This window comes from Homo sapiens, chromosome 3 (assembly GCF_000001405.40).
Source record: "Homo sapiens chromosome 3, GRCh38.p14 Primary Assembly".
Classification (NCBI taxonomy): Eukaryota; Metazoa; Chordata; class Mammalia; order Primates; family Hominidae; genus Homo; species Homo sapiens.
The window spans coordinates 143,379,073-143,401,229 of record NC_000003.12 but is presented as its reverse complement, the minus strand read 5'-3'; the positions used below and the strand labels follow the sequence as shown (position 1 = coordinate 143,401,229).

At 40.5% G+C, this 22,157-nt stretch overlaps 1 protein-coding gene across 4 annotated transcripts in view, besides 1 other annotated feature; it reads left to right on the top strand.

The window, feature by feature from the left end:
• SLC9A9 (solute carrier family 9 member A9) overlaps window positions 1–22,157 on the top strand; it is a 583,247-nt gene that overhangs the window by 447,239 nt on the left and 113,851 nt on the right. For all 4 annotated transcript variants that reach the window (XM_017006203.2, NM_173653.4, XM_011512703.4 and 1 more), the window contains one exon: window positions 19,116–19,170. In XM_017006203.2, coding sequence (XP_016861692.1) covers window positions 19,116–19,170 — 55 coding nt within the window. The remainder of the gene's footprint in view (window positions 1–19,115; window positions 19,171–22,157) is intronic.
• Window positions 11,637–11,776: an enhancer, noted in NCBI's record as "active region_20654". NCBI's record gives its function as "activates an Ori minimal core promoter by ATAC-STARR-seq in GM12878 lymphoblastoid cells {active_cell/tissue: GM12878}" and the evidence as "EXISTENCE:reporter gene assay evidence [ECO:0000049][PMID:35858748]".

Below are 22,157 nucleotides of genomic sequence, written 5' to 3'. Positions count from 1 at the left end.
AACACAGACAAGCCTGGTGACCTGGCAGGAAGGAAGAAATAGATACCCTGTCTCACTCTCCTCTCTCCTTCCAGTATCCTGCCAGTACTTCCTATTGGCTAAACCTATTCAAGACCAAAGAGCACGATAACCCAATTGATGCCATCTGCATTGGTCTGCATTCCAGAGCCCAGGATAATGTAGAGAAAAGGGGGTAGAGTAGATGTAGAGGGAAAAATGAAAAAGTCAGCAGTCCAGAAGATCCAAGGGTAAAATATTAAAAACAATTGCAAAGTTGTTACTTCACCCACGATCAGGACTGGGGGAGGCAAACAAGGTACCTAGGATGCAAAATCTAAGGAAGCACTCACTCTCGGGCTCATACAAATGCTCAGCACTTGCACGATCCTGAGAGACAGGATGTCTCCCTTGCCTAACTCTAGTCTTGGCTCTGATTCCACCCAGTGACTAAAAGTTGCTTGACACAGAATTTTAAAAGGGAATGAATTACCTTTTTTTTTTTTTTTTTTGCATAAATTCAGTCAAAAGTTTTTTTAATTGTTTATTTCCATAGGTTTTTGGGAAACAGGTGGTATTTGCTTACATGAGTAAGTTCTTTTGTGGTGATTTGTGAGATTTTGGTGCACCTATCACCCGAGTAGTATACACTGGACCCAATTTGGAGTCTTTATCCCTCACCCACCTGCCAGCCTTTGCCCTGACTCCCCAATGTTCAATGTATCATTCATATGCTTTTTTGTCCTCATAGCTTAGTTCCCACTTATGAGTGAGAACATACGACGTTTGGTTTTCCATTCCTGAGTTACTTCTCTTAAAATAATAGTTTCCAGTTCCATCCAGGTTCCTGCGGATGCCATTAATTCCTTTCTTTTTTACGGCTGAGTAGTAGAGCATGAATTATCTTTTAATTTGTAAGCATAAAAAGAATATTTTGTTTGAAAGATTTCAAAATACTCTTTTGAATTTTTCCCCAATGACAGCAAATAACATACTAGCCATACATGAAATATCCAGAGGCCAGTATGTATAATGGCTTGACATTATTATTGAACCCTGGATTTTTATTATTTTGTGTGGGTATCCATTTATTCCAGCTGCACGTTTTTTCACACTTTAGCATTTTTGAAGTCAAGATGTGTCTCATAATCAGTGGTGTCACAAATATAATTAACAGCGTTTTTCTTCTTAGATGTACATAAAGTAATAGTATGCCTTATCATGAACTACATCTAGGTTTGATGAAACTCACCGTATGTACTTTAAAGATATATATGAGTGTAACAAATTTTTCATGTCTACCACAATATCTAGCATATACTAATGGTCTTGATATATTCTCAACTGGTATTTCATGAATGAATGAGTGGGTGAGTTAGTGAGTGAAGGAGAGAATGAATGAAATAGTCTACCTGCCCTGCTTTTAGGATGTCGATAGTGTGGTGTCAGGAAAAATATCAGTTCATATACAACAGTTGTTTAAGCTGTCATCATGATCTCCTAGAATGATAGGCCAAAACAGCCTGAGTGTTACATTAGCCACAAGCATCCAATTAACTTTCATTATGTTATTTTCCGCCAAATTGATGCTAATTCTGTTTCCATGCTGTGCACTTTCCGTAGTCTTCATGATAATTTCAGAACCTGTTTTACAACATATTCTTGCTACTCTTTTCCTCTTTGCCTTTCTCTTCTGCTCTAAGACAACTTCTTCCCAATAGTATTGTTGCCAATTTTCTTTCACTTTCCTGATTTTAAACCACTGATTCCAAAATCAAGGTGCAGTTTTCAATATAATTCTAGTGTTAACCATGAATTCTTCCCCTTTTAAAATTTTAAATATTTAATTTCTTTTTAACATAGTCATGCACGCAAGCATGCACTTCAGCCCAATGGTGAATAACAGATTTGACCAGAGAAAAACATTATTTTTCTAGTGATTTACTTTAATCCGTCTCAGCAAGAAACTAAAATTATTTTCTTCTCTTTTTATGTGTCATGCAGTAGCAGCTTCCTAGCTTACCCATTGTCTTTCTGTCAACTTTCCTTTTAAAATTAAGATATTTACTCATTTTTAGCAAAAAACAAGATAATGCATTATTAAGACGTATTTTTGACTTGATTCTCTTCTGAGACTAGGGAAGAAGTTTTTTCACTTAAAAAGTAAAAATAGAAGTGAAATATAGATATATATGTGCATGTACATATATATGTATGTGTGTGTATGTGTGTGTGTGTATACAACAAATCTGTGAATTTATTATTAATAGCATCTGGTCTTAATATGGTCTATAATATAATATGGTCTTACAGAGTGTTAACTGCTCCAAATGAAAATAAGGTTTCAGTTATTTGTAGAGATTGTAGATCAAATCTGCTTCCAATTGTGGGCTTAAACAATAGTTTTGGCAACTGTTATATATCCCAAAGCTGTTTTAATTTTAATTTTAGTGATATATTAGTGTTGGTGAAACAATCTTCTTTGGCTATTTTTCCATGTTTTCAGTGCACATGGTTAATAATTCTGTACTGTCTGCTGGATGTTGGTGATAGATAGCCTGAAGCAACAGATTTACTGGTGCAAAATTATTAAAGTAACCAATTGCAAGTGCTTTTTAATGGTTAATATAAAGAAAAGGGTTATAAATCTCTTTTTGCTTTTAATTACTAAAATACATGGTGTTACAATAACTTCAGATCCTCTTCCCAAACTCCATATGTTTTATATAATACATGAATATTACCTAGTGTAGATTCTACATATTGGCTGTTACTATGATAATTTTGTGTCTCCAACTCCCTTTTCACCCGCTGCCTGCCTTCCACGCTTCATGGTGGAGATACCTTTGTTGGCCTTAGGCTTTTGTTCCCATCTCTTTCTGCTCTCAGGAATAAGTCTGATTCACTTGTATCTTGTGTGAATACAAGCTCAAATATTACCTCTCCCAAGTCCTTGCCTTGTAAGGCCTAATCCTCAACAAGGAATGAAGAGCTTTATCCTGTGCTAAGGAAGTCTAGGCATTGGCAGTTAGGGAAATTCATGTCTTGGGAGGAAGCCTTCTCAAAACATCTTAGAAACCATCTTTCCCTATGAATAGTCAAAGCCAATGTGGTGGTAAGGTGGTGGCGGGGGGGAAGTTCAGAATCAACCATTAGAATTTCATGTTTTGAATGAATTGTGTTGTAGGTACCTATCCATCAATTTTGCAAAACTTTGTTGTTGCCTTCTAAGGATTCTTTCCAAGATATCACTCCACAAAAATATTTGCTTTGGCTGGGTTAAATGTTCTTCTGGATTATTGCATAGAGGAGTTTTACAGTTCTTTAAATATATTAAATATATGTTCTATGCATTCCCCCCTTATTGTCAAAGTATACTTGTGATTTTGTAAATGATGTTCATGGGGAGAATATGCTCCTTGCATCAAGAGAATGCATTCCCATTAAGGCTCCTTCCCTTCCAGGTTTCCCACTGAAGCCTGAGCACATCAAAGAGCAGCAATGTGGAGACTCACCCTGAGATCTCACTGCTGACCCATGGTGCACACCAAGCATGGTCTTTAATGGCAAGCTGGGATTAGGCCACAATTCTGCCTAGAGTTCCTCGTAGCTTGGGACACTGAAAAGTGAGGGAAGGAGATGCACTTCTGGCATCATATCATTCTGTTTATTTAACTGTGAAATAACCACAATGGTTTTCAGGTTTTAGGTTTTCCACTTCTCGCTCAGACCCCTGAGAGTCTGGGATTTGTTTTTCAACCATTTATGGTTTCATACCAACATATAAAGCTCCTACAACTACTTCATATTCCGTGATAAAATGTCCCTCTTTTTTCCCATGTAACTTGTTCAGTCTGACATTGAGAAGACTCCCCACCCAGTAACACTAGAATTTTAAAAAGCGAATCCACTTGAAAGGATAGCTTTTCTGGGGATGTGCATTTGACTCTGATAAATCCCTAATTGCCCAGGCAGGGCACCCAGAGTGAAGCCTTAGGGAAGAAAGGCCAGATGCCTTGATAAGCTATTACATCTGTCTTCCTACCAAAGGATGTCAGTATGCTTGCAGCTTAGGTCAAAAGAAATCAGTCTGTGTATTCATTTTCAATCTAGTTTCTAATGGACTCTTATCCGTAGCCTGAAATTAGCTTACATCTTGGCAGAGCTAAGTACTTCAAACTCAAGGGAAGTTGTGCCAAACATAAAGTACAGGATGTAGATCTGCATTTGTGTCTGGAACAGGTACTTGCTTATTCTTGTTTATTTTTCAAAGAACATAATGTTTTCAGCATACTTATACACTCCAAAATGTATATCTAAATTGTCAGATACATGTAAACACCAGCCACACATTTTATCTCTGCAGCCAGAACATCCCCACTCTTAAGTCCAAAACCTCCATCATAAACAAGCCTCCACTGGAATCAGAAATCACAAGAAAAATCACAGGTGAGGTAAGGTAAAACATAACTCTTTTGCTGGAAATCTTCACAGTTAAATCTTTTATTCAGGAGGCCTGAGTAGCAAAGACAACAATATCTATTAATACCACTACCACAACAAGAACAACAGCTACTTCTTCTAAGCATTTTCTAGGGGCTAGATCCTGTGCCAAGCCCCTTACATGAATTTTTTTTATTATTATACTTTAAGGTCTAGGGTACATGTACACAACGTGCAGGTTTGTTACATATGTATACATGTGCCACGTTGGTGTGCTGCACCCATTAACTCATCATTTACATTAGGTATATCTCCTAATGCTATCCCTTCCCCAGCCCCCCAACCCACAACAGGCTGTGTGTGATGTTCCGCTTCCTGTGTCCATGTGTTCTCATGGTTCAATTCCCACCTATGAGTGAGAACATGCGGTGTTTGGTTTTTTATCCTTGCGATAGTTTGCTGAGAATGGTTTCCAGCTTCATCCATGTCCCTACAAAGGACAGGAACTCATCATTTTTTATGGCTGCATAGTATTCCATGGTGTATATGTGCCACATTTTCTTAATCCAGTCTATCATTATTGAACATTTGGGTTGGTTCCAAGTCTTTCCTATTGTGAATAGTGCTGCAATAAACATACGTGTGCATGTGTCTTTATAGTAGCATGATTTATAATCCTTTGGGTATATACCCAGTAATGGGATTGCTGGGTCAAATGGTATTTCTAGTTCTAGATCCCTGAGGAATCGCCACACTGACTTCCACAACGGTTGAACTAGCTTACAGTCCCACCAACAGTGTAAAAGTGTTCCTATTTTTCCACATCCTCTCCAGCACTTGTTGTTTCCTGACTTTTTAATGATCGCCATTCTAACTGGTGTGAGATGGTATCTCATTGTGGTTTTGATTTGCATTTCTCTGATGGCCAGTGATGATGAGCATTTTTTCATATGTCTGTTGGCTGCATAAATGTGTTCTTTTGAGAAGTGTCTGTTCATATCCTTTGCCCACTTTTTGATGGGGTTGTTTGTTTTTTTCTTGTAAATTTGTTTGAGTTCTTTGTAGATTCTGGATATTAGCCCTTCGTCAGATGACTAGATTGCAAAAATTTTCTCCCATTCTGTAGGTTGCCTGTTCACTCTGATGGTAATTTCGTTTGCTGTGCAGAAGCTCTTTAATTTAATTAGATCCCATTTGTCTATTTTGGCTTTTGTTGCCATTGCTTTTGGTGTTTTAGACATGAAGTCCTTGCCCATGCCTGTGTTCTGAATGGTATTGCCTAGGTTTTCTTCTAGGGTTTTTATGGTTTTAGGTCTAACATTTAAGTCCTTAATCCATCTTGAATTAATTTTTGTATAAGGTGTAAGGAAGGGATCCAGTTTCAGTTTTCTACATATGGCTAGCCAGTTTTCCCAGCACCATTTATTAAATAGGGAATCCTTTCCCCATTCCTTGTTTTTGTCAGGTTTGTCCAAGATCAGATGGCTATAGATGTGTGGTTTATTTCTGAGGGCTCTGTTCTGTTCCATTGGTCTATATCTCTGTTTTGGTACCAGTACCATGCTGTTTTGGTTACTGTAGCCTTATAGTATAGTTTGAAGTCATGTAGCATGATGCCTCCAGCTTTGTTCTTTTGGCTTAGGATTGACTTGGCAATGCGGGCTCTTTTTTGGTTCCATATGAACTTTAAAGTAGTTTTTTCCAATTCTGTGAAGAAAGTCATTGGTAGCTTGATGGGGATGGCATTGAATCTATAAATTACCTTGGGCAGTATGGCCATTTTCATAGTATTGATTCTTCCTATCCATGAGCATGGAATGTTCTCCCATTTGTTTGTATCCTCTTTTATTTCACTGAGCAGTGGTTTGTAGCTCTCCTTGAAGAGGTCCTTCACATCCCTTGTAAGTTGGATTCCTAGGTATTTTATTCTCTTTGAAGCAATTGTGAATGGGATTTCACTCATGATTTAGCTCTCTGTCTGTTATTGGTGTATAGGAATGCTTATGATTTTTGCACATTGATTTTGTATCCTGAGACTTTGCTGAAGTTGCCTATCAGCTTAAGGAGATTTGGGGCTGAGACGATGGGGTTTTGTAGACATACCATCATGTCATCTGCAAACAGGGACAATTTGACTTCCTCTTTTCCTAATTGAATACCCTTTATTTCCTTCTCCTGTCTGATTGCCCTGGCCAGAACTTCCAACCTGTGTTGAATAAGAGTGGTGAGAGAGGGCATCCCTGTCTTGTAGCAGTTTTCAAAGGGAATGCTTCCAGTTTTTGCCCATTCAGTATGATACTGACTGTGGGTTTGTCATAGATAGCTCTTATTATTTTGAGATACATCCCATCAATACCTAATTTATTGAGAGTTTTTAGCATGAAGAGTTGTTGAATTTTGTCAAAGGCCTTTTCTGCTTCTATTGGGATAATCATATGGTTTTTGTCTTTGGTTCTGTTTATATGCTGGATTACATTTATTGATTTGCATATGTTGAACCAGCCTTGCATCCCAGGGATGAAGCCCACTTGATCATGGTGGATAAGCTTTTTGATGTGCCGCTGGATTCAGTTTGCCAGTATTTTATTGAGGATTTTTGCATTGATGTTCATCAGGGATATTGGTCTAAAATTCTCTTTTTTTTGTTGTGTCTCTGCCAGGTTTTGGTATCAGGATGATGCTGGCCTCATAAAATGAGTTAGGGGGGATTCCCTCTTTTTCTATTGATTGGAATAGTTTCAGAAGGAATGGTACCAGCTCCTCCTTGTACCTCTGGTAGAATTCGGCTGTGAATCCATCTGGTCCTGGACTTTTTTTGGTTGGTAAGCTGTTAATTATTGCCTCAATTTCAGAGCCTCATATTGGTCTATTCAGAGATTCAACTTCTTCCTGGTTTAGTCTTGGGAGGGTGTATGTGTCAAGGAATTTATCCATTTCTTCTAGATTTTCTAGTTTATTTGCATAGAGATGTTTATAGTATTCTCTGATGGTAGTTTGTATTTCTGTGGGATCGGTGGTGATATCCTCTTTATCATTTTTTATTGCGTCTATTTGATTCTTCTCTCTTTTCTTCTTTATTAGTCTTGCTAGCGGTCTATCAATTTTGTTGATCTTTTCAAAAAACCAGCTCCTGTATTCATTGATTTTTTGAAGGGTTTTTTATGTCTCTATTTCCTTCATTTCTGCTCTGATCTTAGTTATTTCTTGCCTTCTGCTAGCTTTTGAATGTGTTTGCTCTTGCTTCTCTAGTTCTTTTAATTGTGATGTTAGGGTGTCAGTTTTAGATCTTTCCTCCTTTTTCTTGTAGGCATTTAGTGCTATAAGTTTCCCTCTACACACTGTTTTGAATGTGTCCCAGAGATTCTGGTATGTTGTGTCTTTGTTCTCATTGGTTTCAAAGAACATCTTTATTTCTGCCTTCATTTCCTTACGTACCCAGTAGTCATTCAGGAGCAGGCTGTTCAGTTTGCATGTAGTTGAGTGGTTTTGAGTGAGTTTCTTAATCCTGAGTTCTAGTTTGATTGCACTGTGGTCAAACTGATAGACAGTTTGTTATAATTTCTGTTCTTTTACATTTGCTGAGGAGTGCTTTACTTCCAACTATGTGGTCAATTTTGGAATAGGTGTGGTGTGGTGCAGAGAAGAATGTATATTCTGTTGATTTTGAGGTGGAGAGTTCTGTAGATGTCTATTAGGTCTGCTTGGTGCAGAGCTGAGTTCAATTCCTGGATATCCTTGTTAACTTTCTGTCTCATTTATCTGTCTAATATTGACAGTGGGGTGTTAAAGTCTCCCATTATTATTGTGTGGGAGTCTAAGTCTCTTTGTAGGTCTCAAGGACTTGCTTTATGAATCTGGGTGTTCCTGTATTGGGTGCATATTTAGGATAGTTAGCTCTTGTTGTTGAATTGATCCCTTTACCATTATGTAATGGCCTTCTTTGTCTCTTTTGATCTTTGTTGGTTTAAAGTCTGTTTTATCAGAGACTAGGATTGCAACCCCTGCCTTTTTTGTTTTCCATTTGCTTGGTAGATCTTCCTCCATCCCTTTATTTTGAGCCTGTGCGTGTCTCTGCACGTGAGATGGGTCTCCTGAATACAGCACACTGATGGGTCTTGACTCTTTATCCAATTTGCCAGTCTATGTCTTTAAATTGGAGCATTTAGCCCATTTACATTTAAGGTTAATGTTGTTATGTGTGAATTTGATCCTGTCATTATGATGTTAGCTGGTTATTTTGCTTGTTAGTTGATGCAGTTTCTTCCTAGCCTCGATGGTCTTTACAATTTGGCATGTTTTTGCAGTGGCTGGTACCAGTTGTTCCTTTCCATGTTTAGTGCTTCCTTCAGGAGCTCTTGTAGGGCAAGCCTGGCAGTGACAAAATCTCTCAGTCTTTGCTTGTCTGTAAACGATTTTATTTCTCCTTCACTTATGAAGCTTAGTTTGGCTGGATATGAAATTCTGGGTTGAAAATTCTTTTCTTTAAGAATGTTGAATATTGGCCCCACTGTCTTCTGGCTTGTAGAGTTTCTGCTGAAACATCAGCTGTTAGTCTGATGGGCTTCCCTTTGTGGGTAACCCGACCTTTCTCTCTGGCTGCCCTTAACATTTCTTCCTTCATTTCAACTTTGGTGAATATGACAATTATGTGTCTTGGAGTTGCTCTTCTCAAGGAGTATGTTTGTGGCGTTCTCTGTGTTTCCTGAATTTGAATATTGGCCTGCCTTGCTAGATTGGGGAAGTTCTCCTGGATAATATCCTGCAGAGTGTTTTCCAACTTGATTCCATTCTCCCCATCACTTTCAGGTACACCAATCAGATGTAGATTTGGTCTTTTCACACAGTCCCATATTTCTTGGAGGCTTTGTTCATTTCTTTTTACTCTTTTTTCTCTAAACTTCTCTTCTTGCTTCATTTCATTCATCTGATCTTCAATCACTGATACCTTTTCTTCCAGTTGATCAAATCGGCTACTGAAGCTTGTGCATTCGTCCCATAGTTCTCGTGCCATGGTTTTCAGCTCCATCAGGTCATTTAAGGACTTCTCTACACTGGTTATTCTAGTTAGCCATTCGTCTAATCTTTTTTCAAAGTTTTTAGCTTCTTTGCCAGGGGGTCAAACTTCCTCCTTTAGCTCGGAGAAGTTTGATCGTTTGAAGCCTTCTTCTCTCAACTCGTCAAAGTCATTTTCCATCCAGCTTTGTTCCATTGCTGGCAAGGAGCTGTGTTCCTTTGGAGGGGGAGAGGCGCTCTGATTTTTAGAATTTTCAGAATTTCTGCTCTGTTTTTTCCCCATCTTTGTGGTTTTGTCTACCTTTGGTGTTTGATGATGGTGACGTACAGATGGGGTTTTGGTGTGGATGTCCTTTTTGTTTTTTAGTTTTCCTTCTAACAGTCAGGACCCTCAGCTGCAGGTCTGTTGGAGTTTGCTGGAGGTCCACTGCAGACTCTGTTTGCCTGGGTATCAGCAGCGGAGGCTGCAGAACAGCAAATATTGCTGAACAGCAAATGTTGCTGCCTGATCGTTCCTCTGGAAGCTTCATCTCAGAGGGGTACCCAGCCATGTGAGGTGTCTGTCTGCCCCTACTGGAGGGTGCCTCCCAGTTAGGCTACTCAGGGGTCAGGGACCCACTTGAGGAGGCATATCTGTCTGTTCTCAGATCTCAAACTCCATGTTGGGAGAACCACTACTCTCTTCAAAGCTGTCAGACAGGGACATTTAAGTCTGCAGAGGATTCTGCTGCCTTTTGTTTGGCTATGCCCTGCCCCCGGAGGTGGAGTCTACAGAGGCAGGCAGGCCTCCTTGAGCTGCGGTGGGCTCCACCTAGTTCAAGCTTCCCAGCCGCTTTGTTTACCTACTCAAGCCTCAGCAATGGTGGGCACCCCTCCCCCAGCCTTGCTGCTGCCTTGCAGTTCAATCTCAGCCTGCTGTGCTAGCAATGAGTGAGGCTCTGTGGGTGTGGGACCCTCTGAGCCAGGCCCAGGATATAATCTCCTGGTGTGCCATTTGCTAAGACCATTGGAAAAGTGTGGTATTAGGGTGGGAGTGACCCAATTTTCCAGGTGCTGTCTGTCACAGCTTCCCTTGACTAGGAAATGGAATTCTCTGACCCCTTGCACTTCCCGGGTGAGGCGACGCCTCGCCCTGCTTCGGCTCACACTCGGTGTGCTGCACCCACTGTCCTGCACCCCCTGTCCGACAAGCCCCAGTGAGATGAACCTGGTACCTCAGTTGGAAACGCAGAAATCACTTGTCTTCTGCGTTGCTCATGCTGGGAGCTGTAGACTGGAGCTGTTCTTATTTGGCCATCTTGGAACAATTCACCCCTTACATGTATTATCCCACAACAGCCTATGACATATTTACCATTCCTATCTCCGTTTTGTGGAAAAGGAAACCGAGGTACAGTTTCCTGCCCATAGTCACACAAGTAAGTGATAGGAACAGCCGTTCAGAATGTCTAACTCCTAATGTTCATGCTCTGTGCCTCTTCTTAGCTGTTACCTAGTAATTTCAGTCAACTGTGTCAGCAAAGAGTTAAAGATAGACCAGACCCTTCTTTAGTCTGATCAGCCCAATAGAGTTTCATGAAATCCATCCCACCTCCATAATGTCTAGGAGAAAAGTAAATGGCATATGGGCAACCTTGGAATACCAGGACAGGAATGTTGCATGAATCCTTGACCCAGCTGTTTTCAATTTGGTAATGAGACAAGTCCCAGGGGTAGAAAAATGGACCTAGCAAAGCATATGAGTACCTGTCAATGACAGTGTGTCCATGCAGTGGTGGAAACCCAGAGGGGCACCACTGCTCTCAGCAGCATCCCAGCTCTGCATCTGCATCTCCCATGGAGGGGCTTACAATCATATTACATACTTCATGTCCCCAAATTATAGAACCCCCCTTTCTTCCTTCTCCCTCTAACCCTTCTTAAATAAGACGTCCAAACTGTCTTTACATACTTGACATGCCACACCCTTCTCCAGCTTCCATGAATATTCCCAGTCCATTGATCTTGACCTTGAAGAACTCATTATCCCTTCCTTATTCTTAGACTTTACCTTTTGGTCAGAATCTCCACTTCAGACAAGCAACTAGACAAAACTCTGAGGGGGTTGCTATTTTTCTTGAGTTGATAACAATGTAGAGAGCTGACTTTGCTTCTCTCACAATAGAAGTGCTCAGATCTGATCTTACTGACCCTGAGTTTCGGTTTTATCTTTTAACAGGATGTCCCTTGGGGGAAATTCCCAGGCACATGCTTCTCCTTCTTTAATATGGCTAATGGTAGGGCAAACCATTCAAGTGTCTGGAGTAGAAACTCAAACACCTCAATACTTTCCACTTCTTCCCACAGTGAGCCTGTCCTGCACAATGGCCCTCACCACCGCTTCATGTATATATCTCTGAAATCTCTCTCTTCTTTTCCACCACTGCTAACTTAGTTAGACCCTAATGAACTCTTGGTTGGACCATTACAGTAGACTACTAAATGACCTCCATGCCTCCAGTTTCTTTTTTTTTCTTTTCTCTCCCAACCTGAAGACAACCACCAGTTTCTTAATATCACAATGTATACCTCCAGTGATCTTTCTAAAACATAAATGTAATTATTTCACCCCCTACTGCCTACAGAGAAACAAAAGCATAAGCATAGCACTCAAGATTCTTCATAATTTGGCCTTAATTTACTTTCTGGTGTCATCCAAAGCAACTCTGTCCACCTCTGTGTTCATGACCCTCACAGTCTAGCCACACAGAGCTATTTATGATGTTCCAACCTACTTTGTTCCCCTATGCCTTTGCCCATGCCGTGCCTGGAGTCCCCTCCCCAACCTTTTCTCTTACCATTAAACTCATTCTCACTTTTCAGTGTCCATCTCCTCTGTGAAACGTACCTAATTGCTCCATAGCTCATCTTGATCAGGCTCTTTGTTGGTGTGTTCAAATAATTAATGTTCAATGCTTATCACACCATACTGTGGTTCTTTGCTTCCGATTTGTTTTTCCCATTAGATCTTGGGTCATTGATGGCAGGAATCCTATCATTGACCTTTATATCCTAGCATCTGTCATTTATGGAAAAGCCGCTCTTGTCTTTAACCTATATTGTATCTATGACTCAATGTAGGGTGCACACATTTCTCTTATAATAACAGCACTAACAAGGAGAGCATCAACTAATATTTCATGAGTGCTTCCTAGATGGCAGCCAATATTTTATGTATTTTATTAACTCATTTCATCCTTATAATAGCTCATGAAATATATATATGCTTATCCCCTCTTATAGTTGGGAAAACTGAGATTTGCAAAGGTTAACTAATTTGTCTCAAAGTTATAGAAGTAGCAAATAATGGAAGTGAAATTTGAATCCATGCAACCCGATTCCAGGATCTAAATTCTTAACTACTGTGCCACACTTAAATAACAAAATGAACTGAGTTTTTTCACTTACTTTAGTTCATTTTCTTATTTCCCAAAACAAAATTAAAATATTTGAATTATTAATTGTATTAATGTTGGTCTTACACAAACTCCAGGATTATTTAGTCAAATAATACAGGGTTCAGTAGCAGATGTTGGCCCCCAAGTGATATTCTCATGGCTACACAATAGTCCCCAAACCTTAGTGGGTATCTTTCAGACTCCTCCATTGTCAAGCTGTATTTATGTGCTCAATCTCCAGCCACTCTTCCCTTACTGAAAATGTCATTTTTTTACACTTTGCCATCAAAAGCAGGTCTTAGAGGAAATAATGTATCTTCCCCCACCACCCAGCCCCTGTCACCAGGGGGCTCAAAAGAATCAAAACTGCACCTAAGACTATTGGAATTCACACAATGAAACTAAGCCCTAGTAGTATTTCAGTGCCTTTTTGGAGGTGCTAAGTGGTAAGAATCAGAATGGAAGTTGTTGGCTTTAGCGGAAAAGTGAGGCTTTTGTTAGTTACCTTGCTTTCCCTCTAAGAAAAACCCAACTTTGGGTCATTTTTTTTTTTTTAACTATGGTTGGGTATAAGAGCATCCTGAGATTTTAATATGTCTAATAAAACTCACCAAAGAGTGGAAGTGCAATAGGAAGGGAGGGTGCATTATGGTGCACAAGAGATGTGTTTTGCTCTGAAAATTGAGCTTGATGCTCATTGTAAATGAGGAACCCGGAGTGAGATGTACGAGGGCACAGCTGGGAATATGTGCAATGCTTGCCTTCATTTCCATTTGAATACCATAGAGGCAGCACTCAACTTGCTTAAAATTAAAAGGTACATCAGGAATGCAAAACATCATATAAAATTTTAACCAGCCTTTTTTAGTTGCTTTCTAATTCTTTACTGGTTCTTAATTTCCCTATATTTTTTCTATATTTATTTCTCTATATTTTCTATATTTTCCCTCCACCCTCGGCTTACCTTTTCTAAGGCTGCATGCACCTTTACAGTTATTTATCCACGATGGGCACCTATTCTTTATAGTAATGTATTTCTTTCTCTATCTTTCCTTTTCACCTTCCTTTTCTTTTCTTGCTTTCTGCTCAGCTCTTCCCTCTTCCTTGTTTCTCCTTGCTCTTCAGACACCTTCTTTTCCTTCTTTGTTGCCTTATTACCCTAACTAGTCTACCAATAAATTATAAATAATTCCAAACCAGGCGAGGCACAGTGGCTCACACCTGTAATCCCAGCACTTTGGGAAGCCTAGGTGGATGGATCACTTGAGCCCAGGAGTTTGAAAACAGCCTGGGCAATATGACAAAACCCCATCTCTACTGAAAATACAAAAATCAGCTGGGTGTGGTGGCGTACGCCTATAATCCCAGCTACTCAGGGGGCTAAGGCAAAAGAATCACTTGAACCCAGGAGGTGGAGGTTGCAGTGAACCAAGAACATACCGCTATACTCCAGCCTGGGTGACAGAATGAGACTGTGTCTCAAAAATAAAAGAAATAAATTTTAAAAAAATCAAAACCTGGGAAACTTGGCCCTCTTTAAACAGAAATAATGTTTTGCTATGAGACCAGAAATCCTTGCTGTACACTGGCTGCTCCTTGTGGCTCAATTGTGGTGGTTGCTATATATTCAAAGGTTGTCCAGTGCAGAAACAAGGACTAGGAGGGCTTATCTCTGAAAGTAATCAGTAACTGAGCTCTGGCCCCACTGATAAGTACTGAAAAATAATAATATCAATAATAGCTGCTAACATTCTTAAAAACTTACTATATAACAGGTCCTAAGCTATTTTCTTACTTAATCCTCACCACAACCCTGTGAAATGAGTTCTCTAATTATCCCCATTGTATTGGTGAGGAAACCAAGATGGAGACAGAGTGAGTGACACAGGTCACAGAGCAAGTGAGAGGCAGAGCCACATTTTTCAACCCAGGTAGTCTGGCTCCAAACAACTCTCTTGACATCTGGGTTTCACTGACCCTTGAACAACTACAGGGTAATCATGAAGTCATCAGATTCCAGCTAGGGCCGATGTATACTGTAGAGCTTGCCCTGCATGCCTGGGTATAAACAGACAGGTGAGCAAAGGGTGAGCCAGGGTCGCCAAAGACAGAGCAAGGTGATCTCCAGTGCCCAGAAGGGATTCTATTTGGGAGCAGAGAGCAGAGTAGGAGGAGTACAGCTACTTCACTCCAAGTCTCAGTAACTTCTAGTGATGGGAGATCTGAGACCTAGGAAGGGCATCGTGGTGGATGGGACAAGGTGGTGATCAGACAGAAGGGAGGACAGTGCTTGGAGTTCAGGAAAGAAGGCAGGGTATCGCACAAGTTCAGTGGTAGCCAGCGTGGCCCAAAATACCAGCCTGGAGTTTGGAGGGAGGGGGTCCAGTCCATGGGAGAGAAACTGGCAGATTATTGTATGGCCAGAGCTCAGGGACTGTATTTGGTGCTGGGGCTCAGAAACAAGGACAAGTCCAGTTACCGGACCCAGGACACTGTCCAGATCAGGTGAGCAGAAAGGGTGGCTAGCTTAACATTGAGGGAGAGGTGCTAAAGACCCTTGGATGTCACCTAAGGAGGTTGGACTTCATACTGTGATCTCACCTGGGGGGCTGCTATATACATGTAACACCACAAACTGGGACAATATTATGTCTTCTTTCTAATCTCTCAAAAACTCATTACGTATAAATGATCTTTTGTGCACAAAAGTGGATGCTCATGCATTAAAAAGAGCTGTAAAAATTTGTTTAAAGTGAATGGATACATGGTTAGCCCTAAAATAATGTCAGTTCCATATTCTGACTTGCTTTCTTGAAGAGGAGAGTAAGAGATACAGATGTAGTTGGCATGTTTGCATACCCCTTGGGATGCTGTGTGAAGGTGCCATGCATGTCTATGTCAGCTTATATATCACAATTGAGAAAAGGCAGAAAATTGCCCTCCAAGGCAATGGGAGTTGGTCTGAAGGGGTGCAAGGGTATTATGAGAACAATTGTGTGTGATTGTAAGCCTTTCTATAATATTTAAATTAGATAGATAGATAGAAAATGAAAATAAAAATAAATTTGACTGTCAGGGTTAGTCCTACAGTAAATTAAAGGGGTGGGGGTCATAGGGACAATATGTCAACATATTGTTACAGTCAGGAAAAATAAAGGCAATCTAACTGGCAGATACAATAATTTGAAAAAAAAAGACAGTAGTCAGGGACCATTTAACGTGATCATAAAAAGGTTCATACACCTCTTGGAAATCATTATAAAGAAGCAAGTGTCAGACTTTATGGGACCAGTTGCAATGCTGAGTCCTCCAGTTAAGATTAGAATATCCCCCTTACACACTATTTAAGGAGGCAGGTAGCCAAGAAACATATATTAGCCAGATTTTCCTCAAAAGCAGCTAATATCACAAGTGAAAGAAGGCATTGTTTCCTTCATGGCCCTTAAGCTGTGGTACATTTTTTATATTATCCTCATTGAACCTCCCGAATCGTATGCCCTGTGTGGGCAAGGACCGTGTTCACCCTGGCTTCCCCAGGAGGGAAACACCTTTCATGGAGGTTCTCTTTCCTCAAGCCACTTGTGGCGTTTGTCCTGCTCTGGACCTGCCCTGAGATGAGATGTGGGAGGAGGTACAGTCTTCTTCCCAGTCAGGTCTCTGAGATGCCTTCCACTGAGTCCCCATCAAATGAAAGAATTTCATCACTTCCTCTGCCCCATCTAGTTGTGCAGGAATGTCTGCTCTGATTGCTGCTGCAAAGAAAAGATTCCACTTTAGTGAAAGGCCTCAGTGCTGCCTCAAACGTTAAATGTTGGGCTTCTTATAAAATTCTATTTCTGTCCTCTCCAGGTTTCTAGACAGAGACCTAGAAAAAGGCCCTAAGCAGATACAGTGGTGGGAGCCCCATGATCCTCAGTTCAGTTCACGGCCAACCTGGGTGCCCAGCAGCTTCATCCCTGAGATCTGGGTTTATCCAGCAATGAAGCCTCTAGGGAACAGCCAGCACCTGCTGGAGGGCTCTGATCCACCACACAGCTGTGAGAGTGGCCTGGCCCCATAAGAGAAGGGGGCTGGGAGCCTCCACACCTGGGTCCCACTGTCGGAGGCAGGCCACCCCCACCCCTCTCTACACTGCTGTTCTCCCCTCATCCCTTCCCCTCTCCTTTCTCCTCACTGACATCCTTTCCCTCTCCTCCCCTTCCCCTTCTTGTTCCTCCTCAGATGACATCAATCAAATAGCTAGTTTTTCTACCCCAAGAATCAAAGGTTCCTCCCCTCCAGAGGCTCTTCCCAGTAACCTAAAGGCAAAAAATTCAGCACAAAATAAATAGCTATTAATTTGTTCCCTTGGTTAGAGAGATGGGGCTATTCATGTCCAGAAGACACTTACCTGTGAAGAATCAGAGGTATTTTAAACAGGCGGGACTTTACCGTTACTGTTCTCCTTATAAGGAGTTACACATTTGCTTGACTGGAGGCTTCTCACATGGCCTTGCTTCCCCCACCCCAACAGCAGGACTGGGAGATAATTAGGGAGGTGTTTATGAGGAACAAGAGTTGAAGAAAAGTCCCTAAATGTCTAGCAAATGTGGATTCACAGGAAGGGCTCTGGTGGAGCTTGGGCCAGACCTCTCCCCAGCACTCCCACCCTGCCCCACTCCAGCTGAAGCAGGCAGAGGGACTCTCTCTGGAAACAGAGGAAGTTTGAGTTTCAGGGCCCCTCACTTGGTCTGGCCCTCCAAGGCCCTGGGAAGATCCCCAGTACTGTGTTCCCATGGTCTTATATTTTTGTAAGATTTGCAAAAAAATACATAGTTTCAACACAGTTGGGTTCAACTGCTGTTTCTTTCCACTACAGCTTCCTTTTCCTCATACTTCTCTGATCAAATGGTATTGGAATAGCTGTGGGCATTTGGGGGATCCAACTAAGGGGAAGCTGAATTGAGAGTACATTTAGTTTAGATTGAATGCGATACATTTGTGTGGGCTGCAGTCACTTCTGTGCATGGCTAAGCCACTGCTGTCCACCCCGGAGTAGGAACAGCTTACAGGAATAATGCACAAGGCTGAATTAAATATAAACGTGTCCTATGGTGCCTGGCATCAGAAGTCTGTGGGTAGTGGAGGAAAAACAAGGTTTGAGATGGACTGAGCCAGACTGGGGACTCTGTTGAAAATTCTTCTAATCATGAGATGTATAAAATGCAGTTTTCATTGATGCCTCATCAAAATGGAAATTCAGGAATATATTCAATGGCAAAGCATGTACACTGATAAGTACACTGTGCATTGCTTATGGGAATTGCATAAAATAAAAATTATCAGAAATCTTGCATTTGCAGGGCATTACCCTGTAGCAGTGAGGCACATAGCAAGCGTGTCTGTGTGTGAGAAAGAGTGCTTTAATGCCTTCCAACTATCAACAATTTTGATCAGTCTTGCTAGAGGAAAGACTGCCTTATCTTTTTATTCTCTAATACAAAATCATTATCATATAAAGAGAGTAGCAAAGTCAGTAGGCAAAAATTCCGGAAGAAAGTTATTTTAGCAGTGTGTCAGACAGCTAATTAATTAAAATGTTTTGTATTTTTCCTGGGCTTTGAGAGGTCTATTGCATTTGCCAGCTTTAAAAACATATGTAATTTTTTTTGTAACTTATCCTTCTGAAGAGTCACTTTCACTCCCAATTTTGTGTTTATATTTTTGTATTATTTTCCTTAAAGAGAGAGCCCCCAAATTGTATATGCCTCAGGCTCCACAGTCTGAATCCTCCCTATGGGGAGTCTCTAGAAAAACGTTCTGTTTACTCTGCCTCAAGAAACCCTGCTCCAGGCTGGGCACACAAATTCCCAGGGCATTTTGGTCAATGGTTGGTTGCAGAGGTACCAGGTCACCTTCTTTCCAGAATGTGTGTTTTTGGGGCTATGGAGGTCTTTTTCCTGATGGCTGCTGTCCTAGGTTCTCAGGGATGCTTACCTTGCCAGGAACGACAGTAGTGAAGAGCTGCTGTTGATGCTTAATTTCTCCAGCATCCTGAGGCCCAGCTGTTCAAGTTCTTATTTTGGTATAAATCTGAGGTTCTTTTGATTCAAGAAGACGTAGGATAGTTTTCTGCCAAATCTTTTCTCAGATTCACATTGTGTTTGGGTTAGGTCATCTGACACACAAGACTGTCTCATTCCTTCTGCAGCAGGGGATTGACCAGTTTTTGGTTTTGTTTAACAGAGTTGGCGTGGACCTGGATGAAAATCTGAAGGAGGACCCCTCCTCACAACACCAGGCAAGTCAAAGAAACCAATGCACATTATATAGAGATATGATTGTTCTGTTCCATAGGCTGTTCCATGTTTGTCCAGCATGTGACCAAGGAGCTATTTCTAAACGGAGCTTCCTCTGCTGATAAAACAAATGAGATTACAATAAAATACAAGGGAATTCAGGGTGTTGATAACTTCTAGCATATGAATGCTTAGAACTAGCATGTACTTGCAAGCCTCTCTATGGCAGCAGGAAGTCTGGAAACTTTACAAAGTATATGATGGCTCTTGGAATGAGGCACTTCATAGTTCAAATCCCTACCCAGCAACTTGCTAGCTAGCCAACTCAGTGAAATTTACACAAAGTATGTCCAATGCATGTTGCACAAACAACAAATTGACTTATTTCTCCTGGATAGCTTCTCATTTATCAGGTCTAAGGCCCAAAAAACTGTCTAGGTGATCCATCCTTTGACTTAATTGAGCAACAATTATCTACAGAGACCTGAAAATCCTTTGGGGTAATTGTTTAGAACAATGAGTTCTTCCCTCATATATTAGTTCATTTTCATAATGCTGATGAAGACATACCCAAGACTGGGTAATTTATACAGGAAAAAGGTTTAATGGACTTACAGTTCCACATGGCTGGGGAGGCGTCACAATCAGGGCAGGAGGCAAGGAAGAGCAAGTCACATCTTACATGGATGGTGGCAGTCAAAGAGAGAGCTTGTGCAGGGAAACTGTTTTTAAAACCATCAGATCTAGTGAGACCCATTCACTGTCACAAGAACAGCATGGGAAAGACCCATCCCCATAATTCAACTACCTCCCACCAGGTTCCTCCCACAACACATGGGAATTGTGGGAGTTAGAATTCAAGATGAGGTTTGAGTGGAACACAGCCAAACCATATCACCTCAAGTAGGGGAAATGCATTCTCCAAACTGAATTTGAACCTAACGTCAAAGTAGAATCTATCAATGTCAGTTTTGCACTACCATTTTAAACTCAGTACTTGTCACAAATAAGAAAATGTAGGGAAATTTTACACCTTTTTGCTGAAATTAGAAGTAGGCAGACATAGATATAATAGGAGAATATCATAAATAAGTGATATTGCTTAATGAATTGTGTTATGAGCGTATTTGTATTCTAAGGGAATCCCTCTCTTTTATTTCATGCTTGTTTTTCCAATAACACCATCAATGAGGCACAACTGGTGAGTTTTCCTGGGCAAGACACTGCTTTCCTGGCACACACAGATGTGAAAAAGAAAGGAGCCTGTGCTCTGTGGAAAAGGCTGGGAAATTAAGTTGGTGATGATCCTGGCTCTCATGTACTTTGAGGTTTTTTGTCACATGTGTTCCAAGGCCAGGCAGTTTCCACAGACTCCATTGTCCAGGAAACACACCTAACTGCAGGATGGAGCACAGCAGGGGTGCCCAAAGCACTGGGATTAGAGCCAGCCTGGTGACCTTAGAAAGGAGATCAAAGCCCATCTCCTTACACTGGTGGGCTATAATGAATAGTCAGTAATGTCTGGTGGTGGCTGATTTTTAAAAAGCATTTTCATCTTGTGTAGGTCAAATAATTCATTCTCCTACCTTCAAGAAAACTTTTATCTAAATTTTGTCCTTCTTGTATACCTTTTTCTTTAAAAGAAGAAAAGACACAATTATAAAATTCATCAAATAAAATTCTCTGTCTTCTTCTAACTGCCTAATATTCTACAATCACATATACTGTTATTGGTAAAAATTTCCTACTAGCCTAAATCCTTTCCAATTTAAATGTATTTTATTTTATCTCATTCATGTGACACTTTAAAACAAAGTTCATCATTGTTAAATCAGTAATAACCCTTACCTGAAGATATTATAGCAATTAAAGTTACTTTTTTATTAGAGAAATAGGATAGCATAACATAGAACAGTGAAAATTCTGTGATATTTGGGTCTTGGGCAAGGTGTTTACACCTTTGGGTCTCAGTTTCCCTCTCTATAAAATGTAAATGATAATAACGTCTGCCTCTCCAGGATGTTATTTATGATAATCAAGGGAAATTGGGTTTATGAAAATGACCCAACTTAATTAAGCTAAACCCATCTCATTTTATGGATGATTGGAGGCAGCTTAAACCACCACATATAATAGTAACATATTTTTATAGAAATTTTAAAAATCAGTAAAAAATATTAATAAGAGCAGATAGTCAAAACCAGAGGGGTATAAAGAATCATGGATAAGCAGATCATAAGGCCTTATAGACTTACTGTAGTCAAACCATAAGTAAGCTTTCTGATGGCCAAAGGGGAAATAAAGAAATAATAATTGGTAATATATTAAATTCACATCATTAGAAGGAAAAATAATACCCTCTCCTCAAGTGACACGAAACATCACTATGTTTTTAAAGACATTTCTCACTTGGGGCCTCCTGTAGAGGACACATACAGCACTATCTAAATGTTAAGTAAGTAGCGTTATCATTGACATGGCGCCTCCTGAACTGCTGCTACCTACAAATGATTTCATTTTTAAGAAGTATACTGTAAGTGTTCTTATTCATGATAATGTTCGATTACCAAAGAACTTACGTTTCAGAAAGAGGTTTTCTCCACACATTGGGATAATGCTTATCTTCAGTATCAAGTACAGGAAACAGTGGGCTCTGATGGGAGGTAACAAGCTGCAGTGTCCTCACAGCTGCCACTGAACCTGGACCGTTTTTTGGTACTTCCCAAACTGTCAAGAACCTCTCTGCTCTCATTTTGCCTGGCAACACCTGTCTTATTATCAACATCTCTTGCTCTGTTGGATTATGTAACATAACCCCAATTCTTAGGAGGATTGTATGTTTCCCCTTGATTTGCATTTATTAAACTGGGTTTGCATTAACAAATAGGTTAATCTTTGTAATGGGCAGCCTTAACACATACACAGAAACCCTTCTTACTTACCAAAGGCTAAAAATTTTGCAGGTAGTTATAGCTGTTACTGATTATAC